The 26,082-nt window shown below is 35.9% G+C and overlaps 1 long non-coding RNA gene across 1 annotated transcript; it reads left to right on the top strand.

Moving 5' to 3' along the window:
- Positions 1-5,883: 5,883 nt before the first annotated feature.
- LOC105377521 (uncharacterized) lies at positions 5,884-15,981 on the top strand. Its single transcript, XR_939420.1, has 3 exons — positions 5,884-5,934; positions 7,216-7,299; positions 15,944-15,981. It is a non-coding gene; the product is annotated as an uncharacterized LOC105377521 (long non-coding RNA).
- The last annotated feature ends 10,101 nt before the right edge of the window (positions 15,982-26,082 follow it).

Below are 26,082 nucleotides of genomic sequence, written 5' to 3'. Positions count from 1 at the left end.
TTCATCACAAGTTCTTTATAATATATGTGAATATTCGAAACTATTTGAGACTCAATGCAGCCTGCCATAGGGAGCAGCATTACTTAGCTATGTCTCCACATGCAAAAGGAGATGGATAAAGATACTTTCTTTTATATGATTGATGAGGGACAACTGAGCAATGGCATTATATTCTCTATTTCTCATGTTTATTAAGTCATCTTATGCCTGAAACAGAACTGGTCACTTGCAAGCTCTCTATGATGCAGAGAGAAATTGATAACAAGTTTAATGCTATTCAAAGATTATATGGCATAATTTGTTCCTGTAGTTATTTTACTGCTCTATGAAGAAACTGACCCATAAAGTAAACCAATACTGTGAAGTAAATTCAGTTTTACTTTATTTCCAACTCAAGTCAACCAGCACTTTGCTGTGTACTCCAAGGAATAAAATAAAAAGGACATGGTTTCTGACCTAAAGAAAAGTACACTTTTATAACATAGAAATAGTCACCTACTAGCTGATTATTTGACTGCCATGGAAATCCAAAATGGCTTCACCACCATAAAATGAAGAGTAAAAGGAAAAGTATGTTTTAAGTTTGATGTTTTCTATGTCTGTTTTAATTCGTTCTTTCATGAACACAACACTAGGTAGAATAGGCTCTCTCTATTACTTCCTTCATAATTAAAGAATAGTTTGTAAACATTATGCTACATAAATCAAATGCTAGATATCCAATCTCCCTTCTAGAGTAATTTTATCATCTACTTTGTTGATTAGCTAAACTGAAAGGTGCACTCAATTTGGCAATGTTGGAGAAAATATTTTGCTTCTATTAACCTGTCAAAGAGTGTTTGCTCATAAGTGTTAAACTGCTACAAGAAAAATAAAATATTCAGCCTTTTTTTGATTGTTTGGATCATATTTTTTATCACTTAAAATTATGGTTTTATTTGCTACCTTTGATAAATATTTCTGAGTGCTAAGTGTACTAAGAGTTAGGGCTAGCAATATGGAATCTAAACAATTTGAAGACTTATCTCAGATGACTATTTTTTTAATTTTTTCAGATTGTTTCATTTTGTACAGGGATTAAGAAGAGTGATTTTTCCACCAGTGGAAGTTCTTTTTTAGAAAGATGATGCTTTGTCATCTGAGATGCTTGGTTCTTTCATGGATATTTAGGTTTTCCCCATGTCTTGAATCAAATTTGAAAATTTTATTTTTCTTAGAAAAGTATGGACCCCATTTCATTTGTTTTGTCAATGTTTTCAAATTTGTAAATACTTATGTGTACAGTGTTTTATCATTTCTCTGTTTTGGTACATCTCATGCCTTTTTTGTTCCCAGTTTTATAAATTTCGTATTTTACTTTATTAAACTAGTCAAAACATGTTCTTTTTCTAGTTAATTTATCTATTTCTTTGTTAATTCTTTTTAATTTCATGTTCATTTTATTGAAAATTGTTAACATCTTAAGTCTCCAGTTCATTTATTTCCATTTCTTCAGGAATGAGCAGATTTATGATGATGTAGTATACATTTGGAGTTCAGTTGCAGGAAGCAAAAACTGTTCTATTTTAAGCAGAAGGAAATCTGATGGAATTGTATGCTTAGAAAGATCTTGGAAGGCCTGGAGAAACAGGCTTGATTCTAATTCAAGAACGACCCCAGAATAAGATCACAAACCTGGCCTGCCGAGGGAGGCACCCATTGGATAGACTCAGAGAAGGAAGAATTAAGCTATCACTGGAAAGGTTGACTTCAAGAACACACCCCTTTAGCTTTGATGCAGAAAATCAGGAAGATGTTATTACCATCACATCTTCCTCTGAAGGAACTCTAGAGAACTGCTGCAGAAATAGTTTCTACCCTGAGAAACTGCCTCAGCACCAGGAAAACGCCTCCTTGACTTTCATCTTCTAGACCTCTGCTGCCCAACACAGCAGCCACTAATCACATGTGGCTACTGAGTACTGGAAATAGGACTAATCCAAATGGAGACATGCTCTAAGTTTAAAATACCACAAGATTTCAAAGACATAATGGGGAAAAAGAAAGAAAGAAGGTAAAATATTCCAATTTTTAAATCTTGATGACATAATGAAATGAAAATATTTTGAAATGTATTCAATATTAAATATATTGGGTAAAATAAAATGCATTCTTAAAATTAATTTTTAATTTTGGCTGTTTTCTTTTTGCCTTTTGTAATGTGACCACTAGAAGATTTAAAATTGTATAGGTGGCTCACACTATATTTCAATTGGGCAGTGTTGTTCTGGAACTCATAAGAACATATCTCTTAGCCAAATCAATTTCACACCCAAAAATTTAGGTGCAACAAAGTCATGGAAAAGTAGATTTTAGCCTTCTAGTTTCTGTCATTCAGAAAAATCCCCCTAACTGGAAGCTGAGAGATACTCAGTGTGCTAAGCCACTATATCTTCCACATGAAGTTTTTTGGGTTTTTTTGAGACAGTCTCGCTCTGTCGCCCAGGCTGGAGTGCAGTGGCGGACTTGGCTCACTGCAACCTCTGCCTCCTGGGTTCACGCCATTCTCCTGCCTCAGCCTCCTGAGGCAGGAGAATGGGACTATAGGTCCCGAGCTGGGACTATAGTTGCCTGCCACCATCCTGGCTAAATTTTTTTTATTTTTTTAGTAGAGACGGGGTTTCACTATGTTGGTCAGGCTGGTCTTGAACTCCTGACCTCTTGATCCACCCGCCTCGGCCTCCCAAAGTGCTGGGATTACAGGCATGAGCCACCGCGCCCGGCCCACATGAAGTATTTTTTAGGAAAAAGTTCAGGCAATACTTCATGAGGTTTAAAACTTAGTTTTCTCATTGCAATGATCTTTGATACTATGTAGTTTTATTGTAATTTTATTTTATTTACCCAAAATTATTTAGAATATTTATTTTTTAATCTTCCAGAGAGCTTATTTTTTTAACTTCCAAGTACTGCATTTAAAATTTTAAGTTTTCTTTACCAATTTATTATTAATTCTTATTTTATTATATTTTTGTGGTGTAATCAAATAAGGTAGCCTTGCACATTTTTTGTGTGTTTGGAATATAGTCACATTTTCTTTGTAGTCAAAATACAACCAGCTTTTGCAGAAGCCTCATGGGCATGTGAATGGAACAGGTTTTTTCCTACAGAAGCATAAAAAACTGAATTTGTATGTGTGAATGTCTTTATTTACATTAATCAAACTGTCAGCACCCTTGCTTTTGGTCTTGCTTTGTTGTTGTTTCATTTTGTTTTGTTTTGTTTTGGGCATGACACATCTTTTAAAGACAGGGATATGTAAACGTCGCCAATTTTGCTAAAAATGACTTACAATTAGGAAACAAAGTAAAACATTTAGCATAGGAGCAAAATATAGGCTGGTATGAGGTAAATCTAATTAAAAAGGTAATAATAGGAAACAAGAAAGTTTTGTAAAAAAAAAATTTGTCTGTGAGGATTGGAAAAAGGCACCACATAGGACAAGATATTTTATGTGATTTAAAATAGGAGGATTTGAGATTACAGAAAAGGAGGAGTTACAGCCCATGAGAGCAAATAACGATGGGCTTGTGACAATATAGTGAATGTTTGCCGAACCTAATGATACAGGTTTTCTGGAATAGAATTGTATATTGGGAAAAACAGTAATGTTGAACGATGTTTTCTTTTATTTTTAAATTTTATTTTATTTTATTTTTTTGAAATGGAGTTTCACTCTTTCACCCTGGAGTGCAGTGACGCAATCTCGGCTCACCGCAACCGCCGCCTTCTGGTTTCAACAGATTCTCCTGCCTCAGCCTCCCAAGTAGCTGGAATTACCGGCACCTGCCACCATGCTCAATGTTTTCTTGTATTGGTTGAACATTTGTATTAGTTCTCCTGGAAATACCTTTTTTTTAATAATCTTTGACTAGTTTTCAATTGAATTTTTTGGATTTCCCTTAAGGATTTGTACTTCTTACATAATCACTGCAAGTATTTTCCCCATGTTTGTTATTTTCTTTTTAATTTGTGTGACATATTTGCGACATACAGAAATTTTCATTTGTGATCTCAATTTAATTGCTCTTTACTTTGTGATTTCATTTTACTTCATGAAAGTAAAATGTTCATTGCTAAAGTTCAAATATTATGTGCACTTTGCTTTCTGCATTCTCTGTGTTTTTCCTAATTTAATAAACTGGGAAATCAATTTTCCTAACACATTCTTATTAAATATTCTTCCTTTCACTATAGTTTGTGACACTAAAGTCTACTTTTCAACTATAGATCCTGTTCTTTGGAAGTACCTGCCCATATAATTCTGGATCTACATTGTTCTAATCATTTTGGCTTCATATTATATATGTTTAATATGGTATATAGGGCCAGGTGTGGTGGCTCACACCTGTAATCCCAGCACTTTGGGAGGTCGAGGCAGGCAGATCACCTGAGGTCAGGAGTTCCAGACCAGCGTGGCCAACATGGTGAAACCCCGTCTCTACTAAAAATACAAAAATTAGCCAGGTGTGGTGGCGGGCACCTGTATTCCCAGCTACTGGGGAGGCTGAGGCAGGAGAATTGCTTGAACCCGGGAGGTGGAGGTGGCAGTGAGCTGAGATCGCACCATTGCACTCCAGCCTGGGCGAGAGAGCGAGACTCCATCTGAAAACACACACACACACACATTTTTTATATTTATATTTATTTTTTTATATATAGGGGACTATATATACATATATATAAATATATATATATATAAAATATATATAGGGTCCCCAAACCCCTAGCTGTGGACCAGTACCTGTCTGTGACCTGTTAGGAACCTGGCTGCACAGCAGGAGGTGAGGGGAGAAAAGTGAGCATTACTGCTTGAGCTCCTCCTGTCAAATCAGCAGGGGTATTCGATTCTCACAGGGATACGAACCCTATTTTGCAAACTGCACATGTGAGGAATCTAGGTTGCACACTCCTTATGAGACTCTAACTAATGCCTGATGATCTTAGGTGGAGCAGTTTCATCCAGAAACCAGCATCTCCACCCCGTCTGTGGAAAAATTAACCTGTCTCTGGTGCCTAAAAGGTTGGGGACCACTGGTATATCATATATATTATAGAACATACATTTTATTCAGTATACAGTTATTTGCTAGCACTATTCTCTCTTTAATCTTCTTGTTAAAAATGCATTTAGCTGTTTTTCCCTGAACTTCTAACAAGTTTAAGCTATTGAAGCATCCATGGAGTTTTTTTTTTTAAATTATATAAAACTACAGTTAATTAGGAGATAATCAACATCCCTATTCTAATATTTTTATTCAGGAACATGTTTCTTGTATTCATTTAAGTGAGCTTTATTGTCTCTCAGCAAAATTTCATACTTTTTTTCACAGAGTCACTGAACTTTCTTGATTAAAGTTATTCTTAGGCATTTTTATTGCAAATAAGTGGGATATTTTCTAACAGAATTGCTGGTAGCATATTTAGCTTTAAATTACAATCTGTGGACTCTGATTTTTCATCATTGTCACAGCCTAATTTCTTCATGTGATTACGAGGCACTCAATAAATAATAAAGATATGATTTTTGCCTTCCTTTAGTTAATGCTTATTAAAAGGGTAGTGAGTTTTGCTTACACACAAAAAAGTATTCTTCGGACCAAATTCATGTTCTGCCTTAAGTTTCTCAAGACTAGTTCTATTACAATACTGAATTAAGAGGCAGTAGAGGAAACGTTGGAGAAGGGTAGTTTGTGCTTCTCCTTGGCCTCCAGTTACTTATTCTGGAAAATTCTATCTTAGTTCTCCCAGTGAGAAGACAATAACTCTCCTTCGCTAGAAATACTACACAAATGTAGGAGAGAAAGGAAAAAACATATTTGTTTCTCATTATCTCTTTTACATATACCATCAGTTTGCATCAGCAGATGGGTCCACAGCAATGGAGTTGTTCAGGTAGGCCCCACCCTTGACTATTAAAATATTGACAGTCAAACAATAATGTTACAATGTGAAGTTTATTGAAAGGATAACAAAATGAGCATTTTCATTACAAATTAAATGTCATTTTAAATGTACCACATCAAACTTAATTTGTCTTGTTTTTATATATTGAGGTAGTTGTAATTCAAAGTATTAATGCCAGTCAGTAAAGCATATACCAATTAAACTTGGATATTTGCATACATTCTCTGTAGGTGTCAGCATTGCTTTGTAATAGTCTTATGCACAGAACTGTGTTTTCATCATGTCATAGGATGTAACTTTCATGTTAAATTCTAGTTAAACACCAGAAGGGCCTCTCTAAGTCTCTAAGACATCTCCTGGATTATTCTGTATTTCTTAATCACAAATGTGACTGAATGATTAATCAGCTTGGAAAAAAATGGATATTTATTGTCTTTCTTTAGGCATGGATAAGTACTTTCAAGGTTTTACGTGGCATTCTCTGGATATTAAAATAAGATGCTTTGAAAATATACAATACAGCATACATAGAACCTAATTCTATTTGGCATATTTAGAAACGACATTCATTATTTATTGTCGGGAGAACAGTTAACATAGCATTCTATGGAGTGATTTAGATTGCAGACACCACCACATCACTGTTTTCACAGTTTGAACTAATTATACACAGACTTTTTATTGGATAAAGTTATTAGGATTCAATCTAGGGAGTGCCTATTTAAGAAGGAAAGACATATACAAATTTATGTTCACACTAGGAGGGTATCTATTCTTGGGGCAATTTTCTGATTCAGAGACTTAGAGATGAATGAAATCCTAAAGTAGTAGAATCTGAATGCTTTGTGCATACGAACTTGCACCTGCAAGCAGTCCTGCTATGGACAGCCTCTGTCATGAGACCTGTATTCATTGTGTACATGGCTCTCATTCTCATTTTTTTTTTTTTTTTTTTGAGATGGAGTCTGGCTCTGTCACCCAGGCTGGAGTGCAATGGCGCGATCTCAGCTCGCTCACTGAAACCTCTGCTTCCCAGATTCAAGCGACTCTCCTGCCTCAGTCTTCCAAGTAGCTGGGATTACAGGCACATGCTGCCATGCCTGGCTAATTTTTTTTTTTTTTTGTATTTTTAGTAGAGACGAGGTTTCACTATGTTGGCCAGGCTGGTCTCGAACTCCTGACTCTGTGATCTGCCTGCCTCCGCCTCCCAAAGTGCTAGGATTACAGGCATGAGCTGCTGCGCCCAGCTATGGCTCTCATTCTCTACAGGATGGTGGATAATACAAGCATGTTGGAATTACTATGGAGGCACAATGCTTACAAGAAACCCAACTTGCAAAACTAAGATTACAGGTATTTATAATTGTAAATGATTGCATATTATAAATTGTAAACGACTACTGTAATTAAAAATGTAACAGAGAAAAATCAAGGTCTCAGAAAGCACATAGCCAGGTGTAACTATTCAGTGTGGAAATCATTTTTAGTAAGGGACAATAAGCCTTTCTGTTCACCCAGTTTCTTTAAATGGTACTCTAGTATCTAGCAAAGTTACTAGCTGCCTTCTTCTATGTAATGGTGTGAGAAAATGTTAGTAAATACTATCCATTTTTCCTTCAGTAAATTATGCCAGGATAATTTTATAATCTATTTTGCAGCTCCTTCTGAGGTAGACATTCTTTGGAACATCTGCAATAGAGTAGTTCAGGTGTGAAAGAAATCAGGAGCAGTTTCTCTTTATATACCACACAACATATGGACTCTCACTTGTAGCTGGCAGAGATGCTTCTGCAAAGAAAAAAAAAATAGAAATTTCCGCCAAATTTCTCCAGAAATTGAATCCTTATGAACCAAATTTGATTATTTTCTCATATAAAAGTGAAATTAAAAAATGTGACATACGGAAACACAGTATTTAGATAATGCCACTCAGAGCAGCTGATTGCCAACATGAAGGTATTTGGAGGGAAACTTTTAGAAAGGTATTATCATTCTAGGTTGGAAATCCAAAACAAAAAACTTTTTTTTCTAGTATTCATTTAAATACAATTAACTTTTGATGCATTTTCATGAGAGCCATTTTCTGACTCATAAATGCTTACAAGATAAGAGGATCATCTTCTAGAGTCTAATGGTCAGATAACAGTAAAACAGTTTTGGTTGTTTGAATCACTGGGACAGAAAGTATACAATGTCAGAGCTGGAAAGGACCTAAGGGACAATCTAATCCAGTACTTTCCTCCTTATAGGTTAGAAAACTAACTCTCAAAGAGACTTAACCATTCACCCACAGTTTCACAAGACTAGTTCCATCCAGCTAGGCCTCCTGGTTGTTATTTCAGTATTCTTTTCATTGATCCCAGAAACCTATCGATCAGTTTTAGACTTGGAATGTCTAAACAGAGTCAGATTGTACCACTAGATATGACGGGTTTAGGTGTTTTAAATAATTTATTCAATTAAAACTCAAAGTAGATGTATGTATTTACTAGTTGCCCTTTAGATAGAATAAACGAACTTTGGAATATTTTAGTGAAATACCACAGTTTCACATAAAAGCAGCCTTAAAAATTAAGGTAGCAATTGAAGGAATAACTAAATTGGGCCTAATCTTTGGTGTTCATGTGTATTTTGATACTATTTTTGACAGAAATTTCCTTTTTCCTAAATGATTTGTCAATAGTATTAATTATGACTACTGAATTCTCTAGACTGATTGTTAAATATCCTTCTACAAAACAGAAACATACTGGAATTTCTGTGTGGGGATCCATACATATATTTTATTGGAATTCCCACAATGTTCTGCAGGTCTTTAAAAACAAAAACTGCACCCGAGGAGATTTCTACTGATAGACCTATATTTACACCAACTTGTTTTATTACACTTGCAATTCATACAGGAGACTCCATTTCTGATACTTGTTAGATCATATTATCACTGTCCGTTGAACATAACTTTTAAAACATTGTGGCTGAAACTTGGGTGAAAATAGATCACTTTTTTTTTCCTGGCAACAAATCTCTATGTTAATCAAATTTGCCAGTTGAACTTATTTATTGTTAGATTGTGTCACAAACTAGAACCCACTATTCAAATCCCAGAGGGCACATATGCTTAATAACATCTTTTCTTCATCATGAATATATTTCTAGGATGACTATGTAGTCTCACTTCCCGTGGACAGTCTCGGTTTCTTCCTCTTCCTGCATAATAATAATAGCATCCCTGTCACTATCAAAAGATGATAATATATGATCAGTATAGTGATAATGCAAACAAGAAAAGTACAGTATATGCAATCCTCCTATGTTCAAAAAAGGTAAAACATGGAGGAGGTTCTGCTTAGAGTTTATGTGAGTCTGATGTTGCTGCTATAATTTAAAACAAAGCCTCTTGTGGCTTCTGCCTATGTACTTTACTATTGTTCATAGTCATAATGAGGTTATTTTGGGGGTCAACATGTTATTTGTTCCACAAAAGCTTCAGTTTAGCCTAGGAATGATTACAGTGGATTGCAAGGTCAGTGTTGCTAATAATCTTTATCTTTTCTCTCTAAAAAGTTCTGACTCTTTTCCAAAAATCTACATGCTATAGCTTCTGACCTTCTTTCATTACCACAGATACAAAGCTTTTCTGCTTTCTCCTTTATTCCTTATCATAAAAGAACATCTGAGGGAGTTCTGAGTTAAAAGAGCTTTCAAACATTGGCCAGCATCTTCAGACAGTACAGTTGGCAAAAAGCATGGTAAAAATAGCTCATTTACATCAGCCTCTCTGTCAGGACTACTTTAAAATTAGCAATACATTAATTTTTATATATTATGTTACTTGAGCTTATAATCTTGAATTATTTAACTTGAGGTTTGGAGATGATCGAGGTTGACAGTAAAAGATAATTCATAGAACCATATGTAATTACACCGTTTAACTTGCATTTTAGGAGAAAAAAATGATATCTCGATTGCTGCCGGATGTTGTAAGATGGCTGATAATAATTATAATACTAATTTGCTAACTGGGCTCTGGCAAAGGGGCACTGTTTCTTCCCATGAAACTGTGTGGCGTGTCTTAGCAGTCACAGCAGTCCTGGCACGAAAGATCATGAATGAAAAATTCATTATCTTAGGGGCATTCCAAACATTCTTATACCTAGAATTCCTCCGGATCATTACAGATTAATAGTGGCTTTCTGTGTGTGTGTGTGTGTGTGTGTGTGTGTGTGTAGTGTATGGCTATATGTGGCAATGTGTATATGGGAAAGAGAGAGAAAAAAAATAGCTTTTAACCACATTCACATGCCTGGAATGGCTCTTGCCAACCTAACCACCATAGTAGCTCACAGAGCAAGAAATGATTTAAGAGGAAAAAAGGGTTTCCCTTCTGAACTGGAAGATACAAAGGAAGATACAAGTGACAGAAAAAATTAATACAATTAAAATGTTAATGTACAGTAATAGTTTTGGTATAATATATCCTTAAATAAAAAAAGGAATCTATATGTAATTTTTCATATTGCTTAAAAAAATTCATGATAAAATATTTCATTTGACTCGTGCTATATCAATGTAACATAAGAGACTCAGTTAGAGGACTGCGTGATTTTTCAGAATTCAATTAGAAACCTGAAAAAATTAAATTCCTTACAGTTAATACTGAATTATAAATAAAATATCAACTGTGTCAAGGAATTACAATATAATCAAGTCATACACTGGAGAGACCATTTGATTAATTAAACTTAAGGCTAATATGAGGATATACACTTGTAGGACCTCGCATTTCAAAGAGATAATACTGGGATTCAGCTTCCCTAAGTGCAGAGAGGAGAAACAAAGCTATATACTTGAATGGCCTGTGACACTGCCTTCATTGCTTGGCCCAGAAATTATGGCATCAAGCAAATGACCTGGCCTCTTTTAAGTGTATTATTTTGTCAGATTGTTGCCCAATGTTGAGCCTGCATGACTTTCAGTATTCTTCAACCCTCATTAAGTTATTAAAACTCTAAGCAGAATAATGAAAAGGAATACTAATAATAAAGAGAACAATTCTAATCTGGCGAAGTATCCAGATTAGGTAAAGCACAAAAAAACAAGGAAAGATGAGTACAGCGATATCTAAGAGATTACTGAATAGAAGCTATATAGTTAAATTATCTTGATGCCTTCTTTAAGATTTTAATTATTATTTTAACTTATTTTTTAAATCTGTGCACACTTGGTCTTCCCTTTAAGGCTCCTTGTGGTCTCCTCGGGAGCCAGGTAGTCCTGACACACTTGGGTGCAACCAACATGGTGATATGGTTTGGCTCTGTGCCCCCATAGAAATCTCATTTTGAATTGTAATCCCCAATGTTGGAGGTAAGGCCTGGTAGGAGATGATTACATCATGGGGGAGGATTTCCCCCTTGCTGTTCTCAAGATAGTGAGTGAGTTCTCATGAGATCTGGTTGTTTAAAAGTGTGTGGCACCTCCCCCTTCACTCTCTTCCTCCTGTTCCAGTCATGTAAGACGTGCCTGCTTCCCCTTCGCCTGCCGCCATGATTGAAGGTTTCCTGAGGCCTCCCTACCCATGCTTCCTGTACAGCCTGCGGGACTGTGAGCCAATTAAATCTCTTTTCTTTATAAATTATTCAATCTCAGGTAGCTCTTCATAGCAGTGTGAGAATGGACTAAGACAACTGGCCTTCGCCTTAAGTTCCTAAATTCATGTGGGTGTACCTGCTCCCTGGATCTACACCTTTTTGGTCTGGGCTCTGAACCTTCTCAGTAGTGGGCCCTAGGCTTTGATCCAGGCCACAGGGAGAAATCCTAGCATCATTTTTCCCTTCCACTGCTTTCCAACTCACTGCTTAGCTAAGGAGAGGTAGATACTATGAACTTGGGAGTTGATAAGGTGGACACTTTGGGCTTAAGTTTTCTAGAAAATTAGGCAATCATAGTTGTAATATTCCATATGTCCATAAGCATCAAACAACTCTGCTGCAAACAAAAAGAATAATCTTTTTCTTGAAGTCTAGTAAGGAAGGGTTAGAGAGCTTCTTCTGATATTTCAAAGTAGGAATTTTCCTATCATATAAACCTTGACTATATTAATATGTATATCAACATGTATTATATTAATTGTATGTGCACACTATATTAAATATATATCAATATAGTATTTATTTGTACATTTATATATTGACAAAAATTATGTTTGAGAATGTGTTGTAAGTTAGCCTAACATAAGAGAAGTGACCTTGTTTTAATTTAACTTAATGAACATGGGAAAATCTGTTCTATTCTTTGTAAAATAAAACATGTCTGTAATCCCAGCACTTTGAGAGGCAGACACACGAGGATCACTTGAGCCCGGGAGTTCGAGACCAGCCTGGACAAGATAGTGAAAAGTATCTCTACAAAAAATAAAAATAAAAAATTAGCCAACTGTGGTGGTATGTGCTTGTAGTCCTAGCTATTCAGGTAGCTGGGGCAGGAGAATCGCTTGAGCCCAGGACTCCAAGGCTGCAGAGAGTCAGGATGGTACCACTGCACTCCAGCCGAGGTGACAGAACAAGACCTTGTCTCTAAAAAAGCATACAAGCAAGCAAGCAAACAAAAACCTACTAAATTAGAATATTCAACAAGGTAGTTGTTTTTCTCTCTGCTTTTAAGTTCCGGCTAGTCCATTCTGGAAAGACAGGGACTCTTTCAATTAACATACTCTGCATGGCTAAGTTTTCACTAAGAAAATAATTCTAGATCTAATTAATGTAAATATCTAATAGCAAATTGTAATCCATCTTCACAATCTGTAAAATGTTTTAGACTATGCTGAGAACACACTATTTTCTAGCCTTCAACATCAGCTAATTATCTGTTGGAAAAACTGAGACTAATAATTGCTCCAAAGTTGGCAAATTTGAAGCCAGAAGCTTCTGACCCAGATAAAGATAATGACAAATTTACTGTAAATATTTTTCTCTACATACATTTATTTATTTATTCATAGAGTTGTGGCACAATAGAAACATATTTTCAAAACTGTTACTTTATTTGTACCCATGAGAACAGAAGATTTATAAATTGATTTAAAAAATTTGAGATTTTCTTTAAAAGGCAAGGTATTACAATTCTAAATTGAAATTCTTCCGGCAAAACATTTCCTATTGATGCATAATGATGAACGTATGTATTTATGGGGTAGATGTGGTTTGAAAAATGCATACAATGTATACAATGTATAATGATGAAATCAGGGTAATTAGAATTCAAACATTTATCATCATCTCCTTGTGTTGACAACATTCCACCTCTTCTCTTCCAGCTATTTGGAAATATAGAATGCATTATTGATATCTATAGGTACCTTACTGTGCTATGAAACACCAGAAATTATTTATTCTATCTAATTGTATTTTTTGTACCATTAACCAGCCTCTCTTCATTGCCCCCTTCCCAGCCTCTGGTAACCACCATTCTATTTGCTACTGCCATGAGATCAACTTTTTTAGACTAAGTAGGATTTTTTGAGTGAATATTATTTTGTTTATTTTTGTTTGTTTATGATACTTTTAAAGGTTCTCTTAAGGAACCACAGCCTGAAGAAAAGTTATTTGCAATAATGCCATGTCCTCAGTAGGTACTTGATAAATTCTCAATGATGATGATTAATCCACATCATACACAGCCAAGACTCCAGCGCCTCACACTGAATTTGGTTGAATTGCTGAAAGAAGAATGTCAAGTACACTTCTTTCCTGTTTTATTTTGTTATGTAATCTATTTAATTTATGGTCTTTTAAGGAATAATAGCAAGCCTAACTTTTCAAATGTCCATATAGGGAAGCAGATTGTGCGTACATGTGTGTGTGCGTGTGTGATCTACAGGACATATAAACAGATTCCCATGGCTAGGCATCCCTGTGGTTTTGCAAGTGTGTGCACTCTTGTGATTGTTCGTGTGAGTGTGTATGTGCATAAGTTACAAAGAGAAGACTTGTCCACAGTCATGTGTGGTTCACCGTGGAGGAGCCAACCAGATATTCTTCAGGCAGTTTTCACTAGCTTGCCTACAGTCTTCTAGAGTTTTCAAGAGGGTATTATTGTTCTAAGATCAATTATTACATTTTGGCTCAAGAAGATCTGATAACAAAACAGGATCAAAATGGATGTACATCCTTTATAAAAATGTTTTGCAAAGTGTATTGAATTCACTTTCTTATTCTTTCCTCAAGTAGTCAAAACCCACAAATGATTGAAGCCAGAAGATAAAATCTGAGTGCGTATTGGCCCCAGATGAAAATACTGAGTTTTGAAAATACTGAGTTCATGCTGTGAACACAGGCACTGATAGAAGACCTAGGTCAGGCATGAGAGAAGGCAAATGATAAGAGCCATGGAGATTGACACCTGAAAATCTTTTTTTTTTGGAGATGGAGTCTCGCCATGTTACCCAGGCTGGAGTGCAATGGCGTGATCTCAGCTCACAGGAACCTCTGCCTCCTGGGTCCAAGACATTCTCCTGCCTCAGCCTCCCGAGTAGCTGGGATTACAGGCATGCACCACCACGCCTGGCTAATTTTGTGTTTTTAGTAGAGACAGGGTTTCACCATGTTGATCAGGCTGGTCTCGAATTCCCGACCTCAGGTGATCTGTCCGCCTTGGCCTCTCAAAGTGCTGGAATTACGGGCGTGAGCCATCGTGCCCGGTTGACACTTGAAAATCTTAAATGTCAGTTATGTCCACTCTTCCTCACCTCCACTCACAAGACATTTTTTCTTCCAAAATATTGGACTTTAATATTGTCAAGGCCTGAAAAGTATTGCATCAAGGAAATGGATTTTTTCCCAAATGTGATTGGAGGCCTAAAGTCCAGATGCAGGTGGAGATGACACCACGGAGGACAATTTCCTGATGCTATTGGAAAGAAAAGTGACTAATTTAAAAGTATTTTTAATCTTATTATCTATGCCAAAATGTCAAGTTTTATCAAATGTTAAATGTTGCTTCTTCAAATCCATGATCTTGAGTTGTTACTGTTTTATTAAAGATTTTCAGTCTGACCTAGATTAGTGATATGAGTTATTTCACAGTATGATTTGACAAGTACCTCTATGTCTTATTGCTTAAGAAAAATAAAACCTGTTTAAATATCTCTTTTATTAGAATGAAAATATTAATGATGGCAGTAATTCATGCAAAGTATGAATGTTTATTGATCAGTACCAGATTCTTTAAAGTACAAGCCTTTCCTTTTAGGTTGAAAGTATGGACCAACTTTTAAAATACATAAAACCTAGTACTTCATTTTTGTTTTATTTATTACTTTTTATAAATGACCATTCCTGAGTTAATAGTTTACATCTCAATGTGTTGTTTAGTTTCTAGCTACAATATCTGGAATTTCCGAAAGAGATAGTGAATTAAACTTATTACGGAAGATAGAATTTGGAGTTCCTAATGTCTCCAAATTTGAATAAAATTTAAAATATACCTCTTGATTGTACTTAAGTTTCAGAACTCTGGCTAGTGGTTAAGAAAGCAGGGGAGGAAGAAGTTAAGTACTAAAAAATTTTGTTGCTTAGGACTTCAAAATAAGTAAATTCCTGCCATGTTTCTTGAGTTTACACACTGAAATTTAAGATTAATTTTAGTCAGATCATTCTCTTTTTTGTCCTGTTGTTTGTGCTTGAAATAGAACGAGTTATTTTTATCATTTTATAATTAAATGCTATATTTTTGATATTTTAAAACCTTAAATTTAATACTCCAGAGACAGAAGGATTTTGGAAAACAGTGAGAATAAATAAGAAAAGACTCATTTCAAATCTTTACTTTGAAGATAAAGAAATTTCAAGAGCATTCAATTTCACATGATTATGTTTTGAGTACCCTCTGGGAAGGACCAATAATTACAATGGTGCATCTTAGAAGTCTTTCTATATATTTTGAAACTTTTGCCTGGTATATTGTGTTAATTCCAAACTTTTTTTTTTTTTTTTTTTTTGAGACGGAGTCTCGCGCTATCGCCCAGTCTGGAGTCCAACGGCACAATCCTGGCTCACTGCAACCTCCGCCTCCAGGGTTCAAGCAGTTCTCCTGCCTCAGCCACCAAACTTTTGTGTACAAGACTACACTGAACTCTGGCAAGCCATTCTTCCGTAACATTGTATCCGAAGATGTATCACCTGAATTCCGTGTCTTTGGAAGCTTTCAGGGATACAAGTTTGCTTATACATTTGTCCATGTTGCTGCAGAAACACTGTTCCATATGGTTACCTAAGGTGTTTTCCCCCAATAATATGTATTATCTTTGATTCTGATTCAAAATAATGCATTTACTAAAGTCCTGACTTAGCTGCAATATTCCTAAAACATTTGTGCTGAGAGAAAAAAATGTTTTGCCTTGTAAAATTTCTAAAATGTTTTTGCTGAGAGAAAAAAATTAAATATTTTGGTTCTTAAATAGGACATAGACTTTTCTCAAATTAACAACAACAAAAAGCATTCTAGGCTATGGTGTCTGTCAGAGATGCATGGAGCTGTGCTCCTGTCTCCTGGAAGGCCTGGGTAGAATTCCCCTAGCTGCTATAAATATTTCAGAGATCCTGGCAGCTAAAATATCTCTAAGTTAGATGGGACTGATGATCGCTTTTAGCCAGGTTAAAACAGTACACACTTAATCATAGTCCTTGTCTTCATCATAAAGATAACACTAAAAACCAGGAATTATAATAGTAATAATAAAATATCAACTACTATTTATTAAGTACTTAGATACTGCTATATCTCATTTAATCTATGTAACAGCATTATGCGGTAGGCACCAAAGTTTTCCCATTTTTTAGATAGGAGAGCTAATATTTATAGAGGTTGAGTAATAGCCCTCATCATATAGCTAAAAACAGTTGAATCATGAGCAAATGTTGTCCATTGTTAAGCCTGCACTCCTCACCACCACCCTGTTCCTTGCCATCTAAAGGTTTCAGTTTAGTCCAAAATTACTCAGAACAAATATCTGGGTAAGTGAGAGGAGATACACTGCAAGTTTTCAGTATCTCCTCTGTGCATGAGAGCTCAGGAGCAGGTTTTTATTCCTAAATATAACTTAAAGTAGAGCTTTTGAAGAGCAGGAAGGAAGAAATTATCGTTTGCAACGAAGCTGTTACAATACGACCACCTTAAAACTAATTTTCTGATGCCGTGTGTGTGTATATGAGTGTGTGTATGTGAGCGTGTGTGTGTGTGTGTGTGTGTGTGTAGGATACTCAACGAACAATCAACCTCAGAAATTTGGCTCTGATCCATCCTGGGCTGCCAATAGAGACCTGGCCGGAAAATGAACTCCATTAATTAGAGTGCAGAGTCAAACATGGTTTTATTCATTGGGCCAGACACAAGTCAGAAAACAGGCTTGATGTTTTTCACATTAAAGAAAAAGGATGCACAGAAGTTACATTATTAGGAAATTTTTAAAATTTGATTGAGAAATGTTTCAAAAATGTCTATGTAGGAAGGAAAGTATTTTTCAAGCAATGCGTATATAAAATTAATTAAAATATAATACAAATAAATCTTTCTATTTTAATTAGCTGGAATCCAGTGTAAATTTTTTAAAAGGCAATAATGGGAGGCAGAAGGGCTTGCATGCTAGGAAGAGGATACAATGGGGTGTCAACAAAAGAACAGAGCGTTCTGAATAGGACTTAAGATTGAAGTGAGGGAGTCAAGTGCTTCTCTAGCATTCAGGAGCAGGAACTGGGCTAGATGAAGGCCTGAAAATACTAAATGTGAATACTCACCCCAAACTAATTTTCAACATATTCATCAAATATTTTATGTTTCCAAAAATAAAACTTTTTAATTTTTTTTGAAATAGCAAATATCAAATTTTAAAAATGGTACCCGTGCTTTGCTCTTGCTCCTGGCATAGCACAGTTTACTTATTGGGTAATCCTGGATAGTGCGGCACTAGGAAAGGGAACTCGGAGGTGCAGAAGGTGCTGGAGACCAGCATGAACGCTGTAAGTGGCGCAGACATCATGCTAACAAGAGTGGAGCTTTCCCATAATAGAGGTGTATTGCTTCTGGGAGAAAAAGTGAACTAATTGGTTCCGAGTTGAATGGTTCTAACAGAGAAGGTGTTTAGTCCTGGTTTGCAGTGAGGCATATGCTATGTGAGATGTGGAAGACTGTGTTTCTTTATCTAAGTAGTTCTGAGAATGATAACAGGAAGTCAAACCGTGATCCAAAAGGTATATTTTGAATTCCTCTATCCCATCAATAATAACTTTCATTTTTTCTTTCACATTTATCGTGGCTCTCATTTTCCAACCTTATTTGTTTAGAGGAGGCTTAGTAAGCCTAAACCAAGGCATTTGAACACATACACACTATTTCACTATCACTCACACTTGAAAAAATACAGAGGAGAAAACCTATTAGGTTAGTTGTATAGCATTTTCAATATGGTTATTGTTACCATTATTGATTTTTCATTATAAACCTTTACACAAATAAAAAGAGGTATGAATTTTACAGGGGTCTTGATCCAATGGACACACATGGTATTATGAGTTTAGTTTCTCTTAGAATGGTAACTAACCAGAAATGTAATCTACAAAATTGTCAATAAAATATTTAACATTACATGTTCTCCCATAGTGAGAAATCAGACAATCTTTTTCTGTCCTTCAGACAATTGAGTTTAGAATAAAAACAGTCAAGACAGCAAAAATGTCACTTTCCATGAGGGCATTTATTATTCCTTGACAGTGATGGAAGTGTATTCAGAGATCTAGAGTGCCCTTGTGTGACATTAACCTGCTGATGATCCATTCCATTCACCTAAGCTGAATTAATAGTCAGAAAAAAAAACTCAGGTAAATATTAGCAGAGGAGGCTTTCTTATTCTTTTTATTTTTTTATTTTTTTGGTGGGGAGTAGAGATGGGGAGGAGCCAACATTTTGTGAAATATCCATTTAACAGAGAAACCTCCTACATAGGATCTGAATCTATTTTTAGTGCTTTCTTGCTCACGATTTTACAAAGAATGAGCAATAGGCCAATATAAGCCCGTGTATTTAGAATCTATTTCATTTGGAAAGAGAGGTAAGCTACGACATCGGGTTACCAGGTACTTTGCCGGCTTTACATTTGCTTATGTTTGTCCCTCCTGGCAGTTGCTTACACTGATTAGGTGCATTAATTCAAGGGCAAAATTTCTTAGTCACAAAGAAAATTGCATTAGTGCCCAATGACTATGGGATCATTCAGAAAAATAACCTGAGGATTTATGCAGCACCAAGTTAGCTGGATGTTTGGCATTGATTTTTTTAATACTAGATACGATTGTATTTTCTTAAAGATTGAAGAATACTTCTCCAGCCTACATTTACTAGGTAACAATTTCATGAGTCTTTTGTATTATGTTTTTCTCCATATAGGAAAAAAATGAATATCAGTTTTTAGATTAGACAGGCAAGAGGAAACACTTGAACATACCCTGTGTATACCAGGAATTGCACAAGATGCTTCCCATAATTTACTTGATTTAGTTCTCAGAAAAGCAACGTGTAAGCATTATAATCTTCATTTTGTGGTTAAATAAACTAAGAGTTACAGAGAAGGTTATTTGCACACAGTGTTTTAAATTCAAAGAGCTTCTGTTAGAATTTATTATGATGGATTTTAAAAGTCCTGCATATCATGCCGTATTGTACAATCCCACGGAAACAACTGTTTGCTGCTCATAGGCACATGAGACACTATAGTTGTGATTCAATAGTACAAGCATTCAGTATGTGAATGACGTTTTTCTGCCTTCTAATCCTAGATGTGAGCTAAATATGATTGAGTGTCTTTGGTTATATGGGAATTTAAATAATACTAATTTGATGTCATTGTTATTGCTGCATTTTATAATATTGTTAGACATATAAACAGAACTGAAATGTCACTGCAATACTATTTTTTTGTCATTGCTCAGTTCTCCATTGACTTTATCATATAAATTAAACTTTGGATTCCTCTAAGATATTTTTTCTTGTCTAATACCTCTTGTGATTTTTTTCTCTCTTTTTAAGGCAGTGTAACTATACCTACTTTTGAATATACTGTTATGCCAGCTCCTTCTAGAAACTAGTCTCACAGAGTCAATAATTTCACACTGAAGTAACCCAACAAAATGTTTGATAATACACAAATATACTAATAAACCATACGGTTTTCTCACTAAGAGTGATTCTGTCACCAATGATTGAAATAGCTGCTTTTTCCCTCTGCCACAACATTCTGGATTTTTTGTTGTTTCTCTTGTCTTCTCTCTTCAGTGACCTCCCCCTCCCTCTCTTCTCCCTTGCATCTCCTCCTCCTCCTCCTCTTTCTTCACCCCTCTCTCTTTTCTTTCTCTCTCTCTCATATGTTCTCTCTCCCTCCACCCCCTTTAGTAATCCTATCTCTGTCTGTATTTCTCCCCCTTTCTTCCCTTCCTCCAGTAAGGTAGTTTTTTACAACCTTGCCTTTTTCTAATTAACACCTACAATGGGCTGGCCATCGTCCTAGACTTTAAGCACACAAAATATTGACTCAGTTCATGTTTCCCTTCTTTCTTATTCTGTTAAACTTCCTCTCTTCTTGAATCCTGAGCTAAAGACTCCATGAGAGCTCCCTCAATTTCCTCCAGACAGAAATAATCCTTCTGTATTTCTGCTGAAAGAGTATATTAATTATAATATTTTGTTACAATGAAATAATGTTAGTTGGGGTTGGAGGTGGTATGATGTGCGCCCCATCATGGAGATTAGCACAGGATTAGAATTTTGTGGTAGAAAATTTACTAATGGGATATGTTAAATGTGGATAAGCAAAAGGTGACTACATCCTGTAGCTACTCAGACTGCCTGTCACTTACTCTGGAGAGCAATATGGAAGCATGGAAGATGTGTGAACGATGTTAGTCTCAGCATCCAGAGACCCTGGTCCAGGTCTTGCTTCTGTCTCTTGTTAGCTCCTAGCACTGAGTAATGGATTTTATCCTTTTGAATCTGAATTTCTGTACTTCTGTATTCTGAACATCTGTAAAATCGATAAACTGTCTAATAATTAGACAACTCCTAATGTCCTTTCCCTTTATAAATCCTAGGATGTGAGAAACTTTAAATGCCTTGAGGAAGTAAATCTTGGTGGTTTATCCACTCCTGTGTTATAAACTACCTTGTCTCCAAATGCCAGCAAGGTTTAAGTATACCTGATTTAGTAAAGTTATTTTCTCTTAGTCTTACTTGCTGTCTGGCTGTGGTAGGTAAGGTTTTTGTTTTGCTTGGGTCTTGTTCCTGTTGCCTCTCACTGTGTCTTGAAAACAATACAGTAGTTTGAATGAAGTGAGATGAGGATAAATATTGTCCTCACAGCAATGGTAGCCAAAGTTCAGCAAGTAGAGAGTGGGATAATGGCCCATTTCCTCTTTTGTATAAGCATGGGTGGTAGCCAAAGGTGCTCTGTTGAATTTTGCTTCCTGTATACACTATGTATCATTGTGTGTGCTACTCGGGCCAAACTTTAGAGACTATGCCAAGTGGAATTTCACACCAGGTTTGGAGGAAGGGAAAGACAACAAAATGAACTTACTTCCCCTCTCTTCACCCTATTCCCACCATTTACCAAACAAGAGGGAAGACTCATATATAACAAACATTTTCAGTGGAACACAACTCTAATTGGCCAAAAGGATGAATCAAATAATGATTTGTTGTTTTTGCCTTGTGTCCCAGCAAGAATTCCAGGCGGTCGTAATCAACTTGATCATGACGGAGGGAACATGCTTTCCTGCCCTCTACTGACAGAAACACTCATTATGACTAATTTCCCAGCTTCCAGTTATCTTGTGATCTAATAACACACCTGTAAATGGGGCCTTGTGTACTTCCAGATTTAGTGTGGATACCCAGATAATGCTGAGGATGTATGAGATGAAAAACAAAACAAAACAAAACACACACACACGCACCTCATCAGTTAAGTGGAAAGGGGATTTGGAAGGAACTAAGCATAACTACAGAATCATGTCAGGAAAAGTCAGTGCAGGAAAAAGATAGAGGACAGCCAGCAAAGGAAAGGAGCCCCAGACAGCTGCAGAGGTAGAGAATCATTGTTTAAAAGAGAGCTTTGGCAAAAATCGAACCAACGAATAGGTGAATTGGAGAGCAACCAAAAATGTGGGGTGGATGGCTTATGCTCTGTGCCTCAGTGTTGCCATCTTAAAACGGCGTCCACATGAAAGGGTTACTTTGGAGGTTGAAGGAAGTAACACAAAACATTTAGCTTCATATATATTAAGTGATGCAAAAATAGAAATTATTGTTATTAATATAATGATAGTAAAGAACGGGTGATTATTTCATGAACAACTTAAGAAAAAGCATCGTTCTTTTGGCCTAGAAAAGGGAGAGATTGTGGAAAATAAAAGGGTGTAATCATCTTAAACTACAGAAAGAAGAATGGAGGTAAATCCTAGGGTGAGAAAATAAAATATAAAAGACTTCATAAATACAATTATGTATAATTTCATTTTATCTTGACACAGAGAAGTAAATTAAAAAAGGGAATTAGAAGCAAATCTAACAATCCAAGATTTTCACATTGAGAATTTTCAATTACATTTAAAAAAAGTCTTAGGCAGGAGTCAGAGCAACTAAAAAAATAATAAATATGGAGGCAAAGGCCAAACAAAGGAGAACAGGGAAATCCTGGAAACTTCTATTAGCCTGCGTAACTTCCTTCCCAATTATACTCATGGAAGATATATTAGTAGAACAATTTGTAAACAGCTTGATATATTCCAAATCTGACCAATCACAGCTAGCATTTTTTTTTAAGCCAGGTCATCATTGTCCTTACCAGGGATACTGGTATCTCTATGTGAGAAATTTCCAATGACTGTGGAGTTAGAATTCTCTGGCAGAATCAACTGGCTGCTTTCCATGATAGTATATCCTCTCCAGACTGAGTAAAGGCATTGTCTCATTTCAATGAACTGAAAGTGTGTTTAATTATGAGATGGAGCTCTAGTGTGCAGTAAATAAAATAATTTGTTAAATCAGTCTTTCACTTTCTGAGAGTTTTAGATGTCTGGTGAAAAAAGGGCAAGAAATATATATACACAAAAAAAGCTCATGAATAGAAACATCTTAGGACACTGTGTGTGTGTACCCCACAGACATATATACCATATCACAATATGTATATGTTTTCCCATAATGGAGGGGTATTGTTATTATAGTTGTTGCTGTTAAAAAAGAAAAATGGGCTGGGCGTGGTGGCTCCCTCCTGTAATCCCAGCACTTTGTGAGGCAGAAGCAGGCGGATCATGAGGTCAAGAGATTGAGACCATCCTGGCCAACATGGTGAAACCCCATCTCTACTAAATATACAAAAATTATATTAGTAGTGTAGTCCCAGCTACTCAGGAGGCTGAGGCAGGAGAATCCCTTGAACCCGGGAGGCAGAGGTTACAGTGAGCTGAGATCATGCCACTGCACTCACTCCAGCCTGGTGACAGAGTGAGACTCTGTTTAAAAAAAAAAGGAAAATAAAGAAAAATGAAAAGTTGGAGAGGAGGCTAAGTATAAATTGTGGAAATGCAGACATTGGAAATGTGTGCTCTCCCATATCTGCAGCTATAAATAATTATGAGAAATGAATGGGTAATGGAGTTCAGTTAAATTTTGTGTTTGGAGGGCAACTTGAAGATGAGACTGAATTTGAAAGTGAGCTATAGTTCAGATCTGTAAGAAATCATAGTATGCTTAAAAATCCTGGATATCATCTAGAATGTAATTTTTTTAACTATGTAATTTTTAAAATAGATCTAGTTACTGAATTTTCAGACATTGATATGTTTAGTTCATGGCTCACTAGATCCTTGGTTCTTTGATAAATGAGATTCCTCAGCTTGAGAAAAATTGTTGTTTTACTTTGTGGAAATTGTCCTTTATTCCTGATAAAAATGCCGTAATATATGTCTTTTTATATTCCATTGTTGTCTAATAAGTTGAAAAAGACTGTTTTGGATTCTCCATGCAATTAATTTTTATAGGGAAGGGTATCCATAGTATAAGAAAAGAGATACTTTTCATGTATAGAATGATGGGAAAATGTTATTTGTATATGCACAAAACTTACTTGACAAGATAAAAGGGTTAGCATATATAATATTATCCATGCAATCCTGAATATGTTTAAATCCCTAGCAAAGTTTTCTCTTACCAACATACTCATTGTCATTCTTTGTATTTACAAAAGAGAGTATGTTAAATCTAAATGTTCATGCCTGTCACAGACTCCAGCTAGACAACCTAACCTGAGCTGTACAGAGGTCTTGATTGTATTTCATGAGACATTAAGACAGTTTGGGACGGGCGCAGTGGCTCAAGCCTGTAATCCCAGCACTTTGGGAGGCCGAGGCGGGCAGATCACGAGGTCAGGGGATCGAGACCATCCTTTCTAACACGGTGAAACCCTGTCCCCTGTCTCTACTAAAAATACAAAAAAATTAGCTGGGCGTGGTGGTGGACGCCTGTAGTCCCAGCTACTCAAGCAGGAGAATCACTTGAACCCAGGAGGCGGAGGTTGCAATGAGCCGAGACCGTGTCATTGCACTCCAGCCTGGGCAACAAGAGCGAAACACTGTCTCAAAATAAGTAAATAGACAAACAAAACATATTTATAACAGGTATTTGCTGCTGGTTTTTTTGTTTGTTTGTTTTTTGCATTAGAATAGTTTTCTAGTATGCACAGAATTCAAATGAATTCGTGGTCTGCATATTAACAAACTGGTAGACTGGAGATTGGCATATGTAACTAAAGATGAATTATTTGAAATGGAACATAATGGAAAGATAAAAAAGACTTGAAAAAAAGAAGGCATATTGTCTAAACCATCAACGATGGGTAAAAACAACTGGAGTGCAGGCTTAATAATAGGTAATGAAAAATGAGGGGATAATTAGGTGCTGTCAGAGGGATGAGAACAGCCTAATTGTATTTAAATCTGCCTAAAAAGGTAAGCAGCACTTTAATTAAATTTATAAATAATACTAAATTAACAGATATTACAAACCCCAAAGGTTTTTAGCTTGCTTTCCACTCCAACTAATTTTGTAGGCAGATTAAAAAGGCTGTTTTAATCATTCCTATCTGACTAATCTAACTTCTAAAAACTGAAAAACATTCTATTCTCACATTCTCAATTCTGTACATTTCCTCTGCTATATCTCTAATAGATCTTAGGGATTTATCCCGAATTATGTAGAAACAACCACATGGGGAGACTTCTGGTAAGCATCGTGGAAAAGCAAACATGAAGCTGAGACAACAGAAGTTACAAAAAATACATCTAAATGTAAGCCAAATATAGTTAGAAATTTTGATTCATTCAGAGACAGGCAAATTAAACTTGAATGTAGGCCATAATCTAAACGATGTGTAAACATCTATATAGTAAAGGAGATTTAACCAGGGGCCATCAACCTAAGCTTAAAGACACGTAAGACCTTAAGGAGCTAGTCAACACTAGCTACAACAGAAAGACACTCAGTTAATGCAGATCACCCTGAAGACTTCTCAGGCAGGCTAATGACGTGTTTAGATAGGTGCACCTGGATGTTTATTCCCAGACTCAGCTGTACCTCATTCCCAAATGCCAGAAGAAACTATTTGTCATCAGAGAAGTTTGCAATTATAGCGCTCACGTCACAAAAAATTTTCCATGAGAAACTCAATTTTTTTCCCAAACCTAGAAGCTCATGATTACACACAACATCACAGCAAAGTCAAGATGAACTCAAACAGAAGGATTCCTGATACATTTTAAATATCCTATGTGGTCATGTCATGTTGGCCAAAATCCAGTGATGCTGACTGTATGAAACCAATATATTTAGTAGAGAATTTGAATCCCAGACAAATATTGAAATAAATACTTTCTTCAAAATGGAGAAACTTCATTATTTACCCAACATTCACAACAAACAGTGTTTTGATCATTGCTCATATTTTTGCTTCCTGAAGGAAAGCTTTGCAACTAGAAAAAAAAAAAGTTAGGTCAAAGCTCAATTATCTAAATACCTTTACAATTCTAACTTGTTTAC

Source organism: Homo sapiens, chromosome 4 (genome assembly GCF_000001405.40).
Source record: "Homo sapiens chromosome 4, GRCh38.p14 Primary Assembly".
In the NCBI taxonomy this organism is placed as follows: Eukaryota; Metazoa; Chordata; class Mammalia; order Primates; family Hominidae; genus Homo; species Homo sapiens.
The sequence above is the reverse complement of the archived record's forward strand: the minus strand, read 5'-3'. Positions and strand labels throughout refer to the sequence as shown.